Raw genomic sequence first — 14,706 nt, forward strand, 5'->3', positions numbered from 1 at the left:
AAGAAAATGTGACATATACAGTAAGAAATACCATGCAGCCATAAAAACGAACAAGATCATGACTTTTGCAGGAACATGGATGGAGCTGGAGGCTATTATCCTTAGCAAACTTTTGCAAGAATAGAAAACCAAATACAGCATATTCTCACTAATAAGTGGGAGCTAAATGATGAGAACTCAAGAACACAAAGAGGGGAACAACAGGCAGTGACGCCTACTTGAGGGTGAAGGGTAGGAAGAGGGGGAGGAGCAGAAAAAATACCTATTGGGTACTAGGCCTAAAACCTGGGTGATGAAATAATCTGTGCAACAAATGCCTGTGACATGAATTTACTTATATAACAAACCTGCACATGTACCCCTAAACCTAAAAGAAAAGTTAAAAAGTAAAAGAAAATAGTAAGAACAATAACAATAGCAAGGACCAAATGGCAAGCAAATAGTAAGTGCTTGGGAACAAAGTAATACTTACAGGAGCCATGTTATATTTGTTAATATAGTTATTTTCTATGAAGAACATGAAGCTCCCTATTGAAACACAGAGCACATACCTTGAAATATTTTTGAAAAACACTGTAAGTGAAACAGTGCTAAATTCATAAATGTTATTTTATTACTTAGCTTCTACTGATATGGTCTGATTTAAGTATTCTCTTTTACTTGTAATTACGACAGTTTCTTATTTTTAATATTTATACTGTAAATTTGGTATTAGTTTTATTTGGCTTACAGAAAACTTTTCTCCCAATTAGTTTACTCTTGCCAAGTAAATAATAGGTATATTACCAATGATGAAATATGAACATCTAAATTTTAAAAGTATATAATTCAGTGGACATTTAAGCATATTACCAAAGTGCCATTCACTTTAACATATGTTTTATGGCATATTTAAAAATATAATCGAATATGAAGATATCTGCTCAGTGTAGTCAGTTTTATAGCAAACATCTCTTGAAAATTTGATACAGTTGTATCAAAGGCTTTTGCTCTGCCGTTTTGCCTCATGATTAAAACATATGTTTATTGAGTAGCTACTATATGCATAACAAAGTTAAGTCCTAGGCAGGTAAATAAGGTACACCACCCGTGACTTCAAACTTTTAATTTTGTTGGCTAAAGAAAAACTTTCAGTGGAAAATAGTGAGTGATAATCCCAGATAGTAAATAATTTACAAATAGCCTTGTAATGGGACTTTACAAAAAAGAGATAGCACAGTATATAGGGGAGATGAATAAGACATGGATGAACTGGAAAATGAGTTAATCTTTCCTGATTTCAAAGGATCACAAATGATTGGGGGAGGAAATTCTCCACACCTACACACACACACACATCCATGAACTAAATTATGAAGGTGTGAATGCGTATGTTATATTTCAGATATACTGAATATGGCAAGAGCAAAGAAAACAAATACTAGAAGATAAATTGGAAGGGTGTTTTGGATCTAGACTGTGTTAGTCCCTTAATGCCAGGATAAGAGCTATCAGGTTTATCCTCAAGATAGGATTACTCAGTGGGAATCATAAAATGAAATCAACTCTAAAGAACTTTGGAAGGGGGTAAACCATTGAGAACTCATTAGGAAACTATTGCAGTAGTCTAGATTGAGGGTGTTCAAAGAACATCAAGTAGGCTATGGAGTGAGAATGAAGGAGAATGGGTGGATTCCAGATACACTGAGAAAGAAGCATTGATAGAATAAGGTACATGAATTGGTAAGGGGAGCAAGGAAGAGGGAACAATAACAGAACATGCAGTGGTCTATTGGGAGAGGTGGTGATGGCAGAGCCTACTCATCTGTAATCTTAATTAGAAGCTGGCATTCTCTTGAGAGAGAAACTCTAAAATATTACTTTCATTTACATATATTTTAAATGAGCACACGATTATATTCACATTTATAATTCTATGGTAAGAGTATACTATTGATTTGGAATTTTACTGCCTAGTTATTTTTCAATGGAAAAAAAGTTTAAAAATTTTCTTGAGGAAAGATTCCTTATTAATATACTCCTTTTAGGTAAAATGGAAACAAATTATTTTAGAAAGTTATGTATTACCCAAATGAAATACCACCAGTAAAATCAGATAATAGAAAGATAAACAAGTTTATCAAGACTGTGAATTTCCTTTTAATGTTACTTCTTATTTTAACTGCAAATCATAGCTACTTCCCCAGCAGAGAAAAAGTTATATTTAAATTCACAGAAAAATGCAAGTACCCCAAAAAATGTATCAGAAACAAAGGACAGCATCCCTAATACACATGAGCCCCTCCCTTAGGATCTCTTCCCAAAAGGCACACCCATTTCTCCCCATATCTCTTGTCCTGTCATCTCCTTGATCGTACTCATAGAGTTTCAAGTCAGCATCTTAGAATCTAAAGCTTTGGTAATGTCTAAATAAAGGACTGAATGTTAGAAACAATTGAGGTATAATGATTTGAGATGTATTTGCTGTAGTTACACATGTACTACTTTTGGGGAAGATGTTTCAGAGTAGTCTTGAACAATCCAGCAACCCAAAACGTACTCTAAAAGATTCTGGCTGTGTAAATATACTGCTTGTGGAATGCCGTTGAGAGCTGGATCAAACCTGAGTTACAGGAGTTGGTCCATAGGCTTTTTTTTACCCCTATAACATTTACACAGGGTAGCAATATTTTCATGGGCTGAAGGTTTTTAATTGTTTTTCCTAAAGCCATGAGTGCTTGCTTTTATATGATCATGATATTCGTATCAGTAAAATAACTTGTCTACTGTATTTTCATGCTGCTGATAAAGACATATCCAAGACGGGGCAATTTACAAAAGAAAGAGGTTTATTGGACATACAGTTCCACATGGCTGGGGAGGCCTCACAATCATGCCAGAAGGCAAGGAGGAGCAAGTCACATTCACATCTTACATGGATGTCAGCAGGCAAAGAGAGAGCTTGTGTAGAGAAACTCCCATTTCTAAAACCATCAGATCTCGTGAGAACCATTTGCTATCACGAGAGCAGCCTAGGAAAGACCTGCTCCGACAATTCAATCATCTCCTCTGGGTCCCTCCCTAGATGGAGGTCCCTAGATGACCCTAAATCATCTCTCTCAAGTTCAAAGTTCCACAAATCTCTAGGGCGGGGGCAAAATGCCACCAGTCCCTTTGCTAAAACATAACAAGAGTCACCTTTGCTCCAGTTCCGAACAAGTTCCTCATCTCCATCTGAGACCACCTCTGACTGGATTTCATTGTCCATATCACTATCAGCATTTTGGGCAAAGCCATTCAGCAAGTATTTGGCAAGTTCCCAACTTTCCCACATTTTCCTGTCTTCTTCTGAGCATTCCAAACTGTTTCAACCTCTACCTGTTACCCAGTTCCAAAGTTGCCTCCACATTTTTGGGTATCTTTTCAGCAGCACCCCACTCTACTGGTACCAATTTACCGTATTAGTCCATTTTCATGCTGCTGATAAAGACATACCCAAGACTGGACAATTTACAAAAGAAAGAGGTTTATTGGACTTACAGTTCCACATGGCTGAGGAGGCCTCACAATCATGATGGAAGGCGAGGAGGAGCAAGTCACATTTTACATGAATGGCAGCAGGCAAATAGAGACCTTGTGCAGAGAAACTCAGGTTTCTAAAACCATCAGAACTCATGAGACCCATACACTCTCATGAGAACAGCACGGGAAAGACCTGCCCCCATGATTCAATTATCTCCCACCAGGTCCCCACAGGTGAGAATTATGGGAACTACAAGATGAGATTTGGGTAGGGACACAGAGCCAAACCGTATGTACTAAAAACAAACAAACACAGACCTTGAAAGGCTACAGTTAGTTACTGTTTAATACCTTAGGTTGCAACTGTTGTTTCATACCATTACAAAACCAATAAAGCAAGCCAGGGCCAGGCGTGGTGGCCCACGCCTGTAATCCCAGCACTTTGGGAGGCCTAGGTGGGTGGATCACTTGAGGTCAGGAATTGGTGACCAGCCTGGCCAGCATGGCGAAACCCCATCCCTACTAAAAATACAAAAATTAGCTGGGCGTGGTAGTGCGAGGCTGTAATTCCAGCTACTCAGGAGGCTGAGACAGCAGAACCGCTTGAACCCAGGAGGCAGAGGTTGCAGTGAGCCGAGATCCCGCCACTGCGCTCCAGCCTGGGCGAGAGAGTGAGAGTCTGTCTCAAAAAAAAAAAAAAAAGAAAGCCAGTATGGGTTGCAAACATCAATAAAGTTTCCAAACATCAATAAAGAAATAAGAGCTAAATTGAGAGGATTATCTAGCTGTTAACATAAGTAGTTTCATAATTTTTCCTAGAGTCAATGAGAGTAATTGAGAAAGAATGGCTTTGCACATTTTGGGAGGACAGTTTATTTCAATCTCAGAAAGAACTCTTTGCTCCCTGTTCTTTTTAAAAACATGCCCTTCCCCCCCCACTTATTTTAGTTTTTCCTGAGCTTTATGTAGGTGAGTCAAAGTATATGTGCTAGATTTTCTCAAGCTGTAAGTGATTTATTGAGTAAAATTTAAGGTTATCTTAAAAATGTATATTACAAGACTTTTTGTTTATAAATGTTAAATAATGTAGTTTTATCCATCACAAATTAGACTCTTACCCAATTACTCATTTATAATTTTTTCAGATCACAGCCAAATATTTTGTAAACGAATGAATTGTATTCACCAAAGAACATAAGGGATGCCCTCCTGTATTAAAATGTTAATAAGAACTAACCAATGCAAAATTGGTGTTGTTTTAGCATAAAAAATATTTATTTATATATCATTGTGCATGTTATTGCCTCATTCAGAAATATTTTCTACATATAAGTGGTTAACGAGATATGGACCTAGCATTTAAACTAATTACTAATGTTGTTGTTTTAAAACCATATCCTAATTATGTAACAGATGAACTCAAACTCAGATTTCAGGGGCTTTCAAAATTCATTACTTTTTTTTTTTTGAGACAGAGTCTCACTCTGTTGCTCAGACTGGAGTGCAGTGGCACGATCTCAGCTTACTGCAACCTCCGCCTCCCAGGTTCAAGAGATTCTCCCACCTCAGCCTCACAAGTAGCTGGGATTACAGGCACATGCCACCATGCCTGGCTAATTTTCATATTTTTAGTAGGGGTGGGGTTTCGCCATGTTGGCCAGGCTGGTCCCAAACTCCTGACCCCAGGTGATCCGCCCGCTTTGGCCTCCCAAAGTGCTGGAATTACAGGCGTGAGCCACCACACCCAGCCCATTACTTTCCTTTAGAGTAAAAACTATGATAAAATTTTGTAGTGCCTAATTATGCCTAAGGTCTCAGTCCTACTTAAGCCGTATATTATTTGGTATGACATCCTTTCAAATCGTGATTAGTGGAAAATTTTGGTCAGAAGTGATGCATTTTTCTATAGTCTGAGTAGCCAATAAACTTCATTTGAAAACGGTTCCCTCAAAAACCTTGATATGACTGGTGAGTAGGCAAATGCAATTTTTTAAATATATATATACTTTTATTATACTTTAAGTTCTAGGGTACATGTGCACAAAGTGCAGGTTTGTTACATATGTATACGTGCCATGTTGGTGTGCTGCACCCATTAACTCGTCATTTACATTAGGTATATCTCCTAATGCTTTCCCTCCCCGCTCCCCCTACCCCACAACAGGCCCCGGTGTGTGATGTTCCCCTTCCTGTGTCCAAGTGTTCTCATTGTTCAATTCCCACCTATGAAATGCTGCTATAAAGACACATGCACACTTATGTTTATAGCAGCAAATGCAATTTTTAAAATTGTCTAGTGAGGTCTCATATTGCTTGTTCAGATATTTTCTTCTAACATTGATTGAAAGGTTCCTTAAACTTAGAACTTTGAACATTACCATTTGAAGATAAAGTATTTAAATGCAGCAGGACTATTATAGGGCATTATCTTAGGCATCTATAAAACTAATCTATTATATATGGTATCATGGGGTGAATTTTCATTTACCTGGCAATGATTCCTCTCTAGAGATAGATAAAATCTTTTAGCCATTAGAGCCTACAGTAGAAACTTAGTTTTTATGTATATGCATATACACATTTTAATACATATGTGTGTGTATATATACACATATGTTGTTGCATATAAACTATATATGTGTATATATAACAATATATGCATATATTTATATGGCGATGATATGTTCTTATATATGTCTATACATTTTATATACATATGTGTGTATGCATACATATGTATAAACATATATGCATATATGTATTTGTATATATGTATATGTATACACATATGTATATACACATATACATATATACATGTATATGTCTATATGTGGATGATGAGTGTGAACCAAAGGCACATACATATATGTATATACTATATATGTATATATTTGCCTTTGTTTATATGTTTTCATATATATGTGTGTGTATATATTTGCCTTTGTTTCATACTCATCATCCACAAATTACTTACCTACTTTTGTAATAGTATTGTCTACTTTTCTGTGAAATTTTTTAGGCGAGGTTTAGAAAGTATATGACAAAGGCATTCTGTCTTAACTGCTATTCTGCTGCTGCCATCTTTCATCTTGCCCTGTGTCACCGCATTTGCACATTTATGCACTGCATCAAACTGCTTGATGGTTTTTATTTTTCTGTTTAGGCAGGAGGATGGTGACTTTTATTTACCTGTTGCACTTTGTTCTTGATGTATGATGTTAACCTTACAAGGTCTCTGTTTCTTTGTGCTCACCATCATTCCCTTCATGAGTTTCTCTTTGCATGTACTTCACAATGTTGCATTTTTTCCATCAGTTTCCCAATCCTAAGGAAAGGTGTTAAGGTTTCTGAGGCTTTCTAAAGCTTTGCTACATATAGTATGGTCCACAGATCAGCAGCATCAAGATTACCTGGGAGCTTGTTAGAAAAGCAGAATCTCAGCCACACCACAGACTTGCTGAACCAGAATCCGTATTTTTAGCCAGATCTTTGAATAAATAGCACATACATAAATGAGAAGCACTGCACTAAAGGGTCTGCCCCAGCTCCAAGTCCTCTGAAATCTCATCTATATGTTCTTTCTGATCATGTGGTTGTATAAAATACCATCCCCATGGATTCTTCTAACATCAGAGCGAGGACTGCATCACCTGGTATCAGCTGTTTGTGTTTACATACGTACTCACATTCCAGTGATTTTTCTGATCTCTCCTCTCAGCACTTTGGATTTGGGTATTCATCCTGACAACTTGGTTGTGAGTGAAAAGGAGAGGACTGTGTTTACGAAACAATAGACTAGAGGCTTCTCTCTGTCATTTTTGATTTCCACATTTCAAAATCATCCTCTTCTACTTACCTACCTACTAGGTAGAGAATGAATTAGACATGCTTATTAATGCAACTCTTACTAAACTACTGCTGCCCCAGCAACAAAGCCTCTTTTAAATTTAACCCCATCTTTCTCCTACTGCAAGTGGGTATTTCTTGTGTGAAGCCTGCAATTTTGATTGGGAGAAACAAGTTTCATTTGTAGGATTGGGCATATTATTACGAGAAGAACCTCAGAAAAATAGTAATCTAGAGCCTGGCATGGTGACTCACACATGTAATCCCAGCAACTCAGGAGGCTTAGGTGGGGGCATCATCGCTTGAGCCCAGGAGTTTGAGGCAGCAGGGAGCTATGACCGCACCCCTGCACTCTAGGCTAGGAGATGGAGAGAGACCTCAACTCTTTAAAAAAAAGCATAATCTATTCTGCAGTACAGTAGGAAGTAAAAGATGTTTCTACAACTTGTTCCTATTCCAAATCACAGTGATTTTATTGTTAGTTTGGTTAGAAAATGGTTTGCTGGAGCCTTAGCAAAATACTGTACTATGAATGCTCTTGTATTTTGTAATTTTCCATTGTGTTTTGCAGTCCCCGCCTGGCCAAATGACTTGAAGTGATTTTTCAAAGGAAAAAGCTATACTATACATTTCAGTACAGAATCATCATGACATAGAAATGGACTATTTTTCTTTAACTGTGCCTATTTGTCTCCTGAACATGGTAGAGATCTTTCACACACAGTAAATATATAACTGTTTGTGAGAATAAGAGCCAGATGATGACTTTATGTTCTTTTATGGAAGGATATTGCAACTGACAGTTAAACAATCCAAAAAATAAAATGGACAAATAATATATATTATAGTTTGTGATGTGTCAGAACTACATACATAGTGAGATAGTCTCTAAAGAATTGTGAGACAGGTTGCTGATACAGAGGTGAATTAATAAAATTCATCCATAAGCCCATAATAGAAATTGATCACATATAAGAGGAATTCTCAGCCTCCTGGTCAATTAAGAATTCAGAAAGTCTAGAATTATTGAATCTGATTTAACTAAATCATAGGCCAATATAAAGATGCAATTGTGTAGGTATTATCTTTCATTTCCAAAGATACTTGTACTGTTTCCCTAGACTGACACAAAAACCTCATATAAACTCAATATTATGAGTAAATAGTGTTTATTTAATATCCATATCTACATAAAAATAACATGTTGCCTTTGCAAAAAAATTAATGTTATTTTTAAGAATTTGGTTATTATAAAATAAAATTAAACCAATATTAAATATGAGTTACATTTTAAATTAAGCTATATTTTATATTAATGTTAGTTTAGGATTTCTGATTTTGAAATTGTGTTATCTGTTTGCAAAGACACAATCTAAAGCTTAGCATTTTAAAATTAAATTTTTCTGTGAAAATGTACAAAGACTATAAATTCAAGGAAATATAATGTTTAAAATTAATAATTCATTTTAAATTGTATACTGTTTATACATAACTTTTTTATGGTTTTGATATTGGTTGTCTTGATTCTTATGCTAAAGAGAGCCCACATGCAATATTCTATGATAAGGATTCTACTCTGGGTCATTCTGAAAATAATGGGGACACTGTTGGTCGTTGCAGTTATTGAGAAGATCTAATGGAATTTACTAGACAGAAGGCAGGATTTTAGATATCTTGCACTGCATAGGCAGTCCTTACAAGGAAGAACTGTCCTGAATACTGCATGACCTTTAAATATTCTTCCAGGTAGACATTTTGGAAGTAGAAAATCTTACTGAAAATCTAAGTCTAGGATTTATCTCAATTATATATTAAAACAAAGTACATTGGCATCATTTTAATATGTGCAAAATTTTCTATGAAGACAGAAAACATCTATAAGACTAATCAAAATAATAAAAAAATTCAGTGCATATAATTTGATAAGCTTTAGCTCACCATTTTGGAAAATCCTGTCAATCATCAGTAACATCCAGTGATGAGTAAATACTCTGTGTTTTATAGCTGTGTATTAATGGCAGTTTTTCTTAAAGGAGCAAATATCTAATGAGGTCACTATATTATCTAGTAATTGTTTCCAAGTGTTTAACATATTGAAATACATGCACACACATACATACAAACCCACACATGCATACACACACATACATACAAACACACACACATTCCATAAATTACTTTCTTCTCATTTATTTTTTGTATTATAATTGATGTCTTAGGGTATTGAATTGACATTTAAAAATTATTTGTGTAGGTAAGTTCAATTACCTGTGAATTTTAGTTTAGGGTAATAATGGGGCATTACAGCATATTTATTATAATATGGAGTATGTTGGGTCTGATAGTGTTGAGAACCACTGTCCTAGGAGCATTCTATATCAGGTAGATTTATGTCTCCCAGCAGGTCACTTGTAATATAGCCAATTGTTCAGCAAATGTTTACTTTGGTAGAAGGGCAAATGTACATAACACAGAAAAATGTAGGGTAGTGTGTCTTGGGTTTTTGTTCTCATGCACACTTACTTGCTGGGTGATTTGGGGTGAGTCAGTAAATGTCCCTGGGCCTGAATTTTTCTTCTACTAAATGAGAGTGTTGGACTTGATGAACTCTAAAATTTTTTAGACACCATGTCATTATAGGCAGAAATTTATTTCCATAGGATAGAATCTATACACTGAAACCTTCATATTACATTTGCTGTGCTCATAGCTTTCGATGCCTGTTTTCTGGTCTTTTTTTTTAAACACTGAATTAAAACCTATGAAATAATATGAAATTAATTTTTCTGTAATATATTTTCCACTAAATATAAAACAACTTAAGTTTTATTTTGATGAACATACTAGCAGCATGATGAATATTTGTAATGATTGCAAACTCTTCCCTGACAAGTCCAATGCCATGAGTTTTTATTTTTAACACACACATAAACATACACATATATATGATAGTGGGTGTGAATGCGTGTGTATACATACATAGATTATGTATAAGCATGTATATACACATATGCACATAGATATGTGTATACCTATATACCTGTATTTGTGTGTATATATGTGTACACATATATAGAGAGAGATTGATTTACAGCTGATATCTTGGAAGGTACATGCAGTTGTATATTTTAATGGCTGATTTCCTTGAAGCCCAGACAAGATTTTCTGAGTGAATATATATTAAATACATGGCAATACGTGAGAAAATTACTTGTCCCCAGGTCATGTAAAGAGTTGGTTAAAAAAGGGCACATTCATCTTTATCTTTGGGGTAAACCAGCATTCTCTCCTTCAATTCCCATTTTCTTCTTCTTTCAGCCACATGGACCTTACCATCTTTTTTCTTTAAATTATCAAGAGGAGACCACAAGATGAGGAATACTTCACTGCAGGTGGTGATATGAAACTGACAAGTAGTTTATAAACTAGCCCTACCCTATTGCTTGGAGAAGCTTTATAACTGATTGTTTTAATACCAAAGTGACACCAAAGGGGGTCAAGTAAATAAATATGCAAGCCTCACCAGTTCAAAATAATAAAATTCCAATGTGTGCAAGCCTGCTTGTTGAACATATGTTTGAGGCACGGCTAAGCCATCTGGCTCAGTGTCAAGCATTTACACCAACTGTAGTCTTACAGTACCTGACAGCAGAAAAGCTTTATTCCCCTGGTGTTTGGGCACAAATGGAGAAATATTATTGAAATGATTATCTGCATCAAGACTCAGATTTGCTTTGACATTTAGCTGGCTCTGTTTAATCCAAAGGGTTGTCTGAATGAATAAAGAGAAGGGTTCCTCCAGAAGATGCTGCGAGCAGCCAGGGAAAGCCAAATGATTAATGAGACTGAAAGGCAGGGTGGACCTGCCCACCTCCACCCAGACCTCAGTGCCAAGAACTGAATATGAAATTAGTCTAAAGCTTTCCGTGGCTTGTCAGGAAGATTCTTCTACCCTCACATGGGCTCTCATTTTGGACTCTGGAACAAAAGAAATGGATACCTTACCCAATATGGAGGAAATAGAGAGGCTGGGAGAGTGCTTCGTGTTATAATCAGAACATTTCACATTCAAACACTTTTTGCTTTTAACAGCTCTACCAGAGGCATTTAGATATTACGTTAGGAGTAGAGTCTCTTTTCGGAATTAGAAAGCTGCGGCTTGTCGCCTGGTTTCTGTTTTGGCAGCTGGTTTCTATATGCTATGGTCCTTATATCAAGATAATTTCTTTTGGCTTAGAATGCTATGTTCCTCTGGTTATTCTGTGTTGCCATTCATTTTAAGATGCTATATTAAGCTGAGTTACTTGAAAAACGAGGTACAGTGCTAGTTTTAGCATTCACCTGTGCTAGCAAAATTCAGGCATTTAGCCAAAAAAGAGACATCTTTCATAGTCAAAGACAATTAGCAATAAAATAAAATATTAATTTTAAAATAAAACAGAATAATAACAACAATAATAGAATAGGCATCTTAATTTGGAAATCTTTATCAAAGATTTATAGGTTGTCACTTATTTCTTCAGGTATATTGTACCTTTTGGAGGGAGAATTTTAGTAATGATTGTTGATTTAGATTTGAAATTACTTTGGTGATTTGGTTTTAATAAGAATGTTAGGCATGATTTCTTTCTCACTCTTACTTTTAATTAACTTTTTATAGAGATATGAATGAATTCTAATGAACACAATTGGCAAGCTAATTGATTTGTTTCAGATCACAGTGAGCGATCAGTATGCTGGCAACATTGATATACTATTCAAGGATGTCAAACAGTTTTTGGGTTAATTTTCTGGCAGAGGTTAGTTGGGGAAACTGCTTAAAATATGTACTGTTTTTGATTTTCAACTAAGTGCCTGGTTTTTTAAATATTCAGTGAATTAAAAGATATCTATTCCTTTGAATTTATAGTGTCTTTAAATTATCACACTGCCACTGGGGAGTTGCTTTGTGTATTCTGTGCATATTAACAGAATACTTTTACATGTGTTATGCACATGAGAATATTAAAGACCATTTTAAGAAGATAAAGAACTCCTATTGCAAAAAGAAAGCCAAGAATATGATCCTCTGTTTAAAAAATTATTTTTAAAAGTTGCCTCAAAATCAAGAGTGGTCAAAACAAGTCCTGAAAGCATCCATTTAAAGAAAAATAAAGCACAACTCCAAGAGGTTACTGTTTTGCCAGAGTTCTCACTTTAAAGGTTTTGCTTAAATAAATCCCAGTGAAATGACATTCTTTTACAGTGTTAAGAACAATGAGCGGGTGAGAAAATATATTATGACATAGTTAAACACAAGGCTATAATTTCTAAACTGCATAAATTACATGTTTTCCCTATTATGATACAGACAGCCAAACTGAACATTTTTGAAAGAAAATGACCAACGTATGATTAATTGCAAGCTCACAGATTTTGCAGCTTCAAGAGTAAATCAACTGCTAAGAAGTGCTAACTTGCTAAAATATAAACTAATTTTAGTCTCTAGATATTAAAATATAATTCATCTTCCTCCTCCATTGGGAAAGCTAATTAGAAATTGTGACTGGCAGAAGGAGGAGAACCCAGAGAACACAAGGATTAAGTTCACACGCTTAAAACCTGAGCCCGGAAAAAGTGGCCAGATTTTTTATCCTTTACGTTTCACATATTTGAGTTTCCTGAAACCAGCTTACGGTAATGGCTGCTGCCCAAATGTGCAAGTGACAGAAGAGAGAATTTGTGAAAAGAACACGTTTAGTTAACATAGAATGCTATAAATATAATGTGGAGATATAGAGAAATGGCCCATGGATTCCATTTGTACAAATTCTCAAAAAAATCTGATTGTGCACATGTAACACATCTAACTGCTAAGGTTTTGGAAAAGCCTTCAGATAAGTGGCAATTGTGTTTTGAACCTCTGTATTCTAGGAAATCTCACAAACTTGTGAGCGAGTCTTGACTTCAAGTTGGCTTTACCTGGGCTCTGAGCATTCTTTCACTGGAAGTTAAGGTAAACATTTACAGGGTTGGAAATGCATAATGAATAAATAGACTGTCTTACACATTCAGAGTTCTCATTGATAATTTCATATTTCCTATTTTGTATGGCTAGGGTCTTATTTCACAGAATTGTTATTTTGACACATTTCTTAAAGCATAAGTACACTATTAACCCATTTCACAGTATGAATGTGAGATTTTTCAACTGAAAACAATGGACATAGCAGAAATGCAAAGGGAAGTTTCCTTACCAATATGATAATTTAGTGTGAATAAGTGAGTGAATTAGAATTGCAGTTTCAAGGAGCAACAGTTTTATAATAGTAACACATTTTTTAAAATTTGCCACTGAAAAAAGAGATTCAGGCAAACATTTCATAATAGAAATAGAAGACTACCAAATATGAAGTTGATATTCTATGAACATTTAGAAAAATTCTTCAATGGATATTTTCATGTACATTTGGGATAAATGTATAAGTCTGACATTAAGATTAGTTGCAATATAGCTCTTAAAGAATAGCATGAATTTCCCTAAAGAATTTTCAGTGAATTCAGTATGCATAACAAGACAATGAGTTTCTTGTTGAGTTTTGTTCCAACTAAACTTACACACATTCCTTTCCCTGCCCTTAATGAGTAATGATTTTAACTGGCCAGGATTCCAAACTCTAAGATAATATTCCTAATGAAAATAGTAATTGTGAGAGGCATTCTACATAGAGATTAATAACTAGACCGCGAGGGTTTTATTTTGGCTCTACCATTTCCCAGTTGTGAAATATTGGAGAAATTATTTACAATATCTGCCTAGTTTCCTCATCTACAAAATAAGAACAACAATAGTACATACCTAATAGCATTGTTACAAGGATTCAAGATATCAATACCTGTTGAATATCTGGACTAGTGCTTGGCACATAGTATGTGATTAATAATTATTAAACCACATACGTATCCCCAACATTATATGTTATAGCCAATGTATAACATGCATGAGCCTATGGAAACAAAATTTTCCTTCTTACAATAAGGTTCTTTGTCTTTGGGTCTTCTACATAAGGTAGCATGAAGCCACGATGATCTGGTAAGATGAAATGAGGGAACAGGTATGAAAACTTGCACTCCTACAAAATCACACCCATGTCTAAGGATACATGTCATGTAGAGAATGGAATATATCACTCTGGTTTTTAGTTCATGACTATAGGATTTTATTCAGAGGTTTATGATTTAGCACAAAAAACTGTATTATTTTTAAAGCACCTAACACTAATTCATCAATCATATAAAGATTAACAATTATAATATGGGCATTCTTCTCTAAGAAGCATTGTTGTTTTGAACACCTACTTTGTGCCAAGCACATTTATT

General features: G+C 35.3%; 1 long non-coding RNA gene across 1 annotated transcript in view, besides 1 other annotated feature; it reads left to right on the plus strand.

The window, feature by feature from the left end:
• Nucleotides 1–12,249, plus strand: part of LOC124907897 (uncharacterized) — a 77,991-nt gene extending 65,742 nt beyond the window's left edge. Inside the window, exon 2 of the long non-coding RNA XR_007087269.1 lies at nt 10,666–12,249. This is a non-coding gene — a long non-coding RNA (uncharacterized LOC124907897). The remainder of the gene's footprint in view (nt 1–10,665) is intronic.
• Nucleotides 10,659–11,617: an enhancer, noted in NCBI's record as "VISTA enhancer hs662". NCBI's record gives its function as "enhancer in: hindbrain (rhombencephalon)[5/7]" and the evidence as "EXISTENCE:transgenic organism evidence [ECO:0001131][PMID:17130149]".
• Nucleotides 12,250–14,706: the final 2,457 nt, after the last annotated feature.

Source organism: Homo sapiens, chromosome 2 (genome assembly GCF_000001405.40).
Source record: "Homo sapiens chromosome 2, GRCh38.p14 Primary Assembly".
In the NCBI taxonomy this organism is placed as follows: Eukaryota; Metazoa; Chordata; class Mammalia; order Primates; family Hominidae; genus Homo; species Homo sapiens.